This window comes from Homo sapiens, chromosome 3 (genome assembly GCF_000001405.40).
Source record: "Homo sapiens chromosome 3, GRCh38.p14 Primary Assembly".
In the NCBI taxonomy this organism is placed as follows: Eukaryota; Metazoa; Chordata; class Mammalia; order Primates; family Hominidae; genus Homo; species Homo sapiens.
In genome coordinates this window covers 150,194,532-150,203,713 of record NC_000003.12, presented here as the reverse complement: position 1 = coordinate 150,203,713, position 9,182 = coordinate 150,194,532, and the positions used below count along the sequence as shown (strand labels likewise).

At 38.4% G+C, this 9,182-nt stretch overlaps 1 annotated feature.

The window, feature by feature from the left end:
* Nucleotides 545-1,046: an enhancer, noted in NCBI's record as "NANOG hESC enhancer chr3:149920455-149920956 (GRCh37/hg19 assembly coordinates)". NCBI's record gives its function as "activates a minimal SCP1, AML or CMV promoter by ChIP-STARR-seq in primed H9 embryonic stem cells {active_cell/tissue: H9 hESC(primed)}" and the evidence as "EXISTENCE:reporter gene assay evidence [ECO:0000049][PMID:30033119]".

Below are 9,182 nucleotides of genomic sequence, written 5' to 3'. Positions count from 1 at the left end.
TCAGCACACTCACCTCCTACTTTTCTTTTTCTCCATCTGACCCTTTCCTTCTCTTTGCACAAGGTAAAAAATGGTCACTTTGCATCCCAAATTCACATATTCTCTGCTCAAGGAAACTGGTATATATAGTAGGGCTTCTCTGAATTCAGACCCCTCAACCTTCCAATAAGGAGAATCTGATTACCTCACTTTGGTGAGGACTTAATGCTGGTCTGACTCTCTGTGGTCAAAGAGCCACTATGTACAAATCTGTCTGCTAGTTTCGTGTGGGCGTGTGCTGGGGTAAGAGGAGTAATTCTCTGAAGAGCACTCCTCAGCCAGAATGGAGGCTCTCTTCGCTTAATCGTCATAATAGAGTAAAATGAACTTCTCTTTACAAAAACATAGATAACCAGAAAGTTAAAATTTAAAAAAAAGTTCTCCTTGACAATTAGGAAATCGTTGAGGCCCTGCCAGACCGTCCGCATGCCATCCAGACCGTCCGCATGCCATCCAAACCTCCGCATCAATGAAAGGGTAGGTTAGCTCCCATATCATCCTTACGTGCTTTCTGTATCACTTTGAATCTTAAAAACAAAAACAAATAAAACAAAAAAACCTTGTTATTTATTTCTGAGCTGGGTGGGGATGCCTGGCTAACTAGAATATCCCATTCTCCTTTCTCTGGACTGCCAAATAAACAGGGGTTTACTGTCTTCCCTGGAGTCTGGAATGGTTTTTGGTCAAATAGACTCCACATTTCCATGAGTTTTAAGATGCTGAATATCAGCCAGCTTCACCCCACCAAGTGTAATTGTTGACAGCTGTGTCTTGAAAAGGGTTTCTTTTGTGCTCATCCTGCTGAGTGAGCCGAATTGCTTCATTAACATTTAGGCCATGTTACACATTCAAGTGCTTGTGAGGTATTTGGATTTCAGATGAGTTTTTTTTTTTTTTTTTAATTCTTGTTCCAAACATGACAAGTCTCCATTTTTGTAATGAGTTTTTGTATATATGGGTGCTATTGAAATTTTTGCATCTTTGTTCATTTGTCATGCAAAGACATACAGCAATGATTGTTACGCTTTGACCTAGTTATTAAGGCCTTTTATATTTGTGAAGAGCAAATTTCAAATTATGCCTTAGAGTAACTATGACTGTTGGTGCTTCCCCGCCCAAGAAGACAATGTCAGCTTCAAGGGGTACTTGGTGGGGGAAGAGGAGGTGCTCCCCTCCAAAAGAACTTCTATAGGCTTCCCTAAGCCATCCCCAGTGAACATACAAGTAAGCAAAAAACAGTGCATTTTCCATGAAAATTCGACTTCAAGATAAGCCCCCTTTCCTACCCTTCCAGCGAGATTTATGCTCTGAACCATTTCTCTGTAGGAACTCAGCAAGCAGGAGCTAAGCAGCAAGCAGCCACTGCTCAGTTTGAGGTCCCAGGACAGGAAGAATTCCTGCAGCAGACACTAATTGCTTAGGTAATAGCCATTCTTCCTTTCTAACAGAATCCCAGTTACCATGTGGGTGACGATGTGCTGTGCTAAAAGCACCTGTCTTCTCAGACTCCTTTGCAGCTAGAGGTGGCCCTTGTTACCCAAATCTTGCCAATGAAATGTAAGGGAAAGTAATTGACTGAAACCTCTAGAAAAACTTTTCAAAAGAAGTACTGTCTTGCCCTTGCCTCTTTTTACTGTCTTCAACCCTGCTGCCTGGCTACAGGCAGAGTAGTCATCCCCTGAGGATGCAGGCAGGAAGACAGAAGGAGATTGAGTCTCTGGGGGCAACGTGGGGAAGCTGTACCAATTCTAGGCTGCCCAGCTCTGGAGGTCTGTTATCTGGTTAAGCCACTAAACGGGGTTTTCTGTTATTTACAGTCAAACACATTATTAATTGAGACCTTCCATAAGGGCATAGACTTTTGTTTGTTTGTTTTTGTTTTGTTGTTGTTGGGGCCTATTCTGGTTATCTGTTAACTACATAACAAATTACTCTAAAACTTACAGCTTAAGGTAGCAACCATTTCACCATATCTCTTGGCTTGGTGGGTCAGGAATTCAGGCAATGTCAGTGGGCAATTCTTCTGCTCCCTCTGTCATTGACTGAGATCACTGGGTGGTGTTCAGCTGGTGGATGGGCTGGTCTGGAAGGTCCGAGATAGCTTTACTCACATGTCTGGTGCCTTGACAGGGAAGCCTACAAAACAGGGCTCAGTGGATTCTGTCAACTGGAGTGCTTACACGTGGCTTCTCTGGCACGATGGTCTTAGGCTGGTCAGACATTACCTGGTAGCTCAGGGTACCCAGAGAGAAAGAGTTCCAAAGGGGTAGAAGTTTCCAGTTTCTCACACCTGGGCCTGGAAATAGGTACTGCATTGCTTCTGCTGTATTGTATTGGCCAAAGCAGTTACGGGCCTATCTAGGTTCTGGGGCAAGGAAACTTAGATCTACTCCTGATGGGAGTATTGTCAAAGAATTTGTGGCCATCGTTAATCCACCACAGGGGCAATGGGTTACAAAGTTACTTTCACAAAGTTTGATCTACAGGCCTATAATAGACAGCTCTCCCTCTGAGAGTAGACCTTGTATTCAAGTCTCTATGATTCTTGCAGGTAGACAGATGGTCTACATAGTGCCAGGCAGTAGTCTAGGCACTGGGAATGGAATGACAAACGTTAACCAGGAAGGTCCTCTTGTGTTAAGTTTGAGGTTGTAGTGGAGGGAAAAATGGCCTCCCTTCACCTTTTCAGGTTCTTTGGCCAGGCTATGCATTAACATAAGACATATTAACAGGAGAAAAAAAAAAACATATTTAATTATGTGCATAAGCACAAGAGTCCCACACAATATGAGACTCAAAGAAGGGCCAGGTGATTGAAGCTTGCATACTATCCTGAGCTATGGAAAGGAATAAGGACTGGGGGCATCTGGGGGTGATGGAGACAAGTTATCGGGGGGTTGGTGAGTGGAAGAAATGTATGGTAAATAAAGATTGTCTTGTTACAAGACAAGAAGTTTCTCAGGTAAAAAAGTTGTCTTTAAAAGCAGCCTTCTTTCTGATGCAGATACTTTTACTAATGTAGGTTTCCTTTATTGATAAACATTTCTATTACAAAAGGGCAGCTTTTCAGAGCTACTCCCATGTCTGGTGTCTCTCAGGATAACTAGCTCAAAATAGATCTTAAAAGTATATTTTGGGGTGGCATATTCTGGTCTCCTCTGGTCATATTTTGGGGCAATATGTCCAGAGCCCTGATAAAATGGTTACCGGACACACAAGAGGAGATTACTATGAAAAGAAATATTTGAAAATATATGGTGACCTAAGGTGGTGGCTAGGATGGTATAAAGAACCTGGCCCACAGGAGCCTCCCATGAGGAGTCCTGGGTTTTCATCTTCAGCTTGGATCTGCATGACCATGAGAAAATCCAGTAATACCTTTGGGCTTCAGTTTCATTATCAGTAAAATGAAGGGACTGGATCTTATCATCTCTGAGGTCTCTTCCATTGTAAAGTTTTATAGGTCTGGGCAATCACCATTTATGATTATGAAAAGAGCTGGAGTTATGATTTCTTTTCTTAACTCTTAAAAATACCAGGCTTTTTCTGTAGTCAAATTCCACTGTGCTTTTCTTCCACAGACATAGTTCACTTACAGAGCAGACCTCAGGAAGAACTCTGGGTAAAGGCAATATTTTTGTGAAAGTCAAATCTTCCCAGCTAATTTGATTTCTCTGACTTTCCCTGAGAACTTGTTCTTTCTAAACTTTCCCTGCTGTTCTCTTTTTAAGATTATAATATAAAATGTTTCCATTCACATTAGAACATGACAAGCAGACTCAGTATGGCCAAATGTTCCAGGGTTCACTGGGTTCCTGAACCACGTGGGAATCTGAGGGGTATTAATAACAAAGTGAGTGAGGGAGAGTTTCAGAGAGAGTAACTTGGGGTTCAGTTAAAAAAGGGGACCCTACATAATCAACAGATGAATGCCTAAAAGTATAATATTGAACTTGGTGGTGAAGGACCTCCATGATTACTTCTTTTGAGGAATTTATTCATTTCTTTTCACCTCAAAGATTTCTAGTAAAACAATGCAATTTAATCCCACAAAAATTTGGGAATGTGAATTCATTAAACACCTCAGTGATTCAGAGCACTTTGCTGAGTTTTGAGGATTTGAGAGGGGAAAAAAAAATCTGGGTTTCTGAGGAGTGAAACTATGTATGACTTTTGCTGTGACTTCCTGCAATATTCTGGGCAAATCTATTAATTATTTTATAATTATATTATGGATAAACAATATTTGGGCATCTTAAAGAAAAAAGTATCTGTAGTACACTTTTTCTATTTTATCTTAATACAGTTTATTACTACGTGGGGTTTGTAATTTGTTTTGCAAAATAAATAAGACCTCCTTATAACTCTATCCTTGGGATGCATTCCAGGAGACAGCCTTAAAAAAGTAAGCCTGCTTCATACAGGGTCTTTTTGATATAGTAGTGACTAGTATCCTCTGGATTAATTGTCCCCAGAAAGATCCAAAATATACAAAATAACATTTTATAATAAATAGTGTTATACTGAAGATTCACCAAATAATAATGATGTAATAATATTTATCAATGACTACATGCAAACAATGTATCCAACATTGTGCTAAAAGCTTCCCCATATATAGTTTTTAATCCCCACAGTAGTACTGGAAGTTCTTATTGTCTCCATTGGAAAAGACTGAGGTTCAGGCAGGTAGTCTTTACTTTGGTGAGTGATGAGGCTGTAATTCTAATACGGTCCTGTCTGTTGCCAAAACCTAAGATTTTTCCACTTTTGTCTTTATCCAAATATTTCTTTGGGGGTAATGCAAATATTGTTAGAACACCATAGAAATTTAAAAACAATCAATTTGTATTCTGTTTTCTCGGTAACAAAAGACAAGACAATTAGGCAGCAATTACATGGTTGAAACAGGATATTTTTTCCATTAAGATTTATGTGGTAAAATAAGTACCCATTATCAAATATTTCTGGATTCAATGGAGCTATTTTTCACCTCAACAAATGCTATTCAGCGATTTACGAACACCACAGCAGAGACTAGCTATGTCTGTCTTGTGGGTAAGAAGTTAAAATGCCCTATAATTTTATTGAGTACTGCCTCTTTGGATCCTTTAATTTTTCAATGTATAGTACCCCACTCCCCACTTCTCCCCCACTTTGCCTTTTGAGTATATTATTCACTTCCAAATCTCTTCTTTGCTATCCTCAAACTTTCTTATTGCCCCAGGGGCTCCCCTCCTACTCTTTACTTGCAAACACCTCCTCTTTAAACTTGTCTGGCTGACCACCCCCGCCAAATACCTTGAAGAAAATACCACTTTCAGGAGTGGTTGCACACAATACTTCTTGTCCTAGGCCAAATTCTTGATTTTCCTCCCTCCTTTGCCAGGCAGCTGTGTAGATACTTCATTTCAATTCAGGGTCTCTGACATCAAGTTGTAAAGAATAGGTAGTCCAAAATGTAGTTTTTTAAAAAACTATTGTTCAATTTAGAAAGAATTGACATTTTTACTTTGTTGATCTTTCAATCCATGAACATAGTACATCCTTCCATTCTTAAATTTTTAATTGCTTTCACCAGCATTTTGCATTTTTAGCATACAAGTCTAGTACATATTTTATTAGATTTATATTTAAGTATTTTTTCAGTGATTATAAATGGTATTGTATTTTAAATTTTGATTTCTAGGTATTCATTGAAGTATACAGAAATACAAGTGACCCTTGCATTTTGATCTTGTATCCTGTGACTTGCCCTACTCACTTGCTAGTTCCAGGAGTTGTTTTGTATATTTCAAAACACAGAGTTTTAAAATTTAAATTGTATATGCTTTCTCTTTCATATTAATTCTTATCAATATGAATTTAAATCCAGAGAGTACACTAAATAGGGACATAATCCATGGGGCTACCAGGCATGCAACTTTCCCTTAAAAAGTGTTATTAGCAAGCAGATACAGAATCCTACATTTTTATCAGTGCACATAATACAAATTTACTCTTTCATAGTGAATATGACTTACACTTTTTGACTTTATGATAGTCCAAAAGTAATTTACATTCAGTATGCTCCTTGACTTACAATGGATTTATCTGGATGTAACCCAATTATAAATTGAGGAGCATTTGTATTTTCTAAACCTTATGTGTATTAACCAAAATGAGTGACTGAAATGAATCCTTGTCAATTGAGATTTATTGAGCCAGAGCTTAAGTGTGTGCCTGGGAAAAACACGAGACACAGAAGACCTCTATGGCTTTTGTTTCTCTGAAGAGGTTTTCAGCAGGCTTAGTGTTTATACATTTTCTTAAATGGGGAAAGGCATGTAGGAAGAGGGGGGTAGGTAGAGGAATGATTCATCTTGTCTTTGTTTTGTACCTGAGAAGATAAGCATTATCAGTGTGAAATCTAATAGGCTTTAATTTTAGGAGCTAGACTTAGATTGCAGATCTATACAATTGACATGTCCTTATTTTATGGGAGGATTACATCTTGAAAGGTTTTGAAGCCAGCAAATAACAATTTGTAAGGCAGTCTAGACCTACGGCATTTTGCCTTTCTGTGGGGGTCTGTGTAATGCTTTGACACAAGGTTGTAAAATAACAGCTATGCATTCGGAAAAAGATGGCAATGTTGCATGACTCAGTCTCCAGGCTTAACTTTCTCTTTAGCATAATGAGTTTGGGGTCTTGAGATTTTTGACTTTCCTTTATATGCATAATACCCAAAATATATATACTTAAAGCCAACTCTCCCTTGCCTGATTTGTTGTTTTTGTTCTCCCATGTGCATTAGTTATAAATACCAAAAGAACACATGAAAATCTACTTCTATATCTAATAAAAGATTAATGGTTCCTGTATCAAATAAAATTGTTGATAGTAAGCTGTGTTTTGCTCATTCAAATAAACATTACGTCAGCTGTGAGTGTCAGTAGGCAGGAAAGATAAGACCATTCAAGGGAGACCAGACCATATCTTATAACTAGATTTTCTGTAGGCATACCTCCAACTAAATGCTTTCTATATAAGAGAAAAATACCCTGAATACTTTTGTTCTGGTACATAAATTGGGTGATACTGGGTAGATCATGGAGGGGAGTATATTCAGATCTACTGGTAGACCCTGAGACCTTAAAACTCATCCAGATAAGAGTCAGTCTCATTAAACCAGGAGTGGTCTTCTTGGAATCCCACTATACTGGAGTGTGGTAATTTCCAAGTGCATCAAACTTTGTATTAGTGGTGAGGAAAAATCAACCATGTTTTTATTTAATATGCTATACCCAAGGTATATTATTTGTTTTAGGGCATTTATACCTAAGGTATATTATTTGTTTTAGGGCATTTATCCTTCTACATCAGAGAGCCTATTAGTTCAATAATGGAAAGAAAATGAAAATTCAGAAAGGAGAAGTGTTTGCCTTGGGATTTTTGTTGATTTAAAAGATGTAGGTAAAAGGCCTGGAGGTGGAGCAGTACTTTTGTTAGCTTTGAGGAGCAAGGGGCTAAAAGTTGGAGTAAATGGTCTGTCAAGACAGGGCCTGGGTGAATATTCACATTCTGATTTGGGACCGAAAAGACTATAACTTGGAACTAAGAGTGAGCCTGAAATAAATTATCACTCATAGACCTCTTGCAGGCTTCACACAATAGTTCAGTGTTGCTAGGAACTCAGATGCTTGGCAGAGCAAGCCAAAATGCTCTCTGAAAAAAATATAATATCACTTTGGCCTCAAATAATTTTAATAAACAATTTTCCAAATGCAATGTCTGGCACACAAACAAAGAAAACTGGGCATACAAGAAGGTAGAACAACATAAACCATAATCAGTAAAAATAATGGCAATAGAAAGAGACTTCCGGAAGCTCCAGATATTGGAGTTATCAGATACAAACATTAAAATAAATATACTGATTGGGCGTGGTGGCTCACATCTGTAATCCCAGCACTTTGAGAGGTCTAGGTAGGAGGATCACTTGACCCAGGAGTTTGAGATCAACCTGGGTGACATAATGAGATCCTGTCACTACTGACAACAACAACAAAATAGCCCATTGTGTTAGTGTGCACCTGTAGTCTCAGCTACTAGGGAGGCTGAGGTGAGAGGATTGCTTTAGCCTGGGAGGTCAAGGCTGCAGTGAGCTGTGATCACACCACTGCACTCCAGCCTGGGCAACACAGTGAGACCCAGTTTCAAAAAATTTAAAAAAAAAGAAATAAAATAAATATGGTTCCTATGTTCAAGAAGATGAAAAACAAGATGAAAATATGGTTAGGGAATTGAAAAGTTAAAAAATGTATAGCCAACTAAAAAAACAAATAGAAATTTTAGAATGAAAAAAATACAAAAATGGGCTGGGTACAGTGGCTCATGCCTTTAATCCCAGCACTTTGGGAGGCCAAGGTGGGAAGATCCCTTAAGGCCAGGAGTTTGAGACCAGCCTGGGAAACATAGGGAGACCCTACAAAAAAATAAAAATATAATATAATAATAAAAAGTAAATAACAAATAAAATTAAAATAATATATATTATATATAATAATAAAAAGAGACTGCAAAAAAATAAAAATAAAATATAATAAATAAAATCAAGCCAATTATTCACAACTGAAGAAAAATTAGTGCACTGGAAACAGGTAAGAAGAAAATATGCAAAATGAAGTACAGAGATACAAAAGGATGGAGCAAAGAGAAATGAATATAAGAAACATAAGACAGAGAGAAGATCTAATTTACGGATATTGTTGAATGTTTGTTTTCTCCAAATTTCATGTTCAGATGTAATCCCCAGTGTTGGAGATGGGACCTGCTGGGAGGTGATTGGATTATGGGAGCGGGGGTTCCTTCATGAATGATTTGGCACCATCCCATTGGTGATAAGTGAGTTCTCACTCTGAGTTCACAGGAGATCTGATTGTTTCAAAGTGTGTGGCACCTTCCTCCTCTCTCGCTCCTGCTCTCGTCATGTGACATGCTTGCTCCCCTTCACTTTCTGCCGTAATTGTAAGATTCCTGAGGCTTTCACCAGAGGCAGATGTTGGAGCCATGCTGGTATAGCCTGCAGAACTGTGAGCCAATTAAACCTCTTTTCTTTATAAATTACCCAGCCTCAGGTATTTCTTCATAGCAATGCAAGA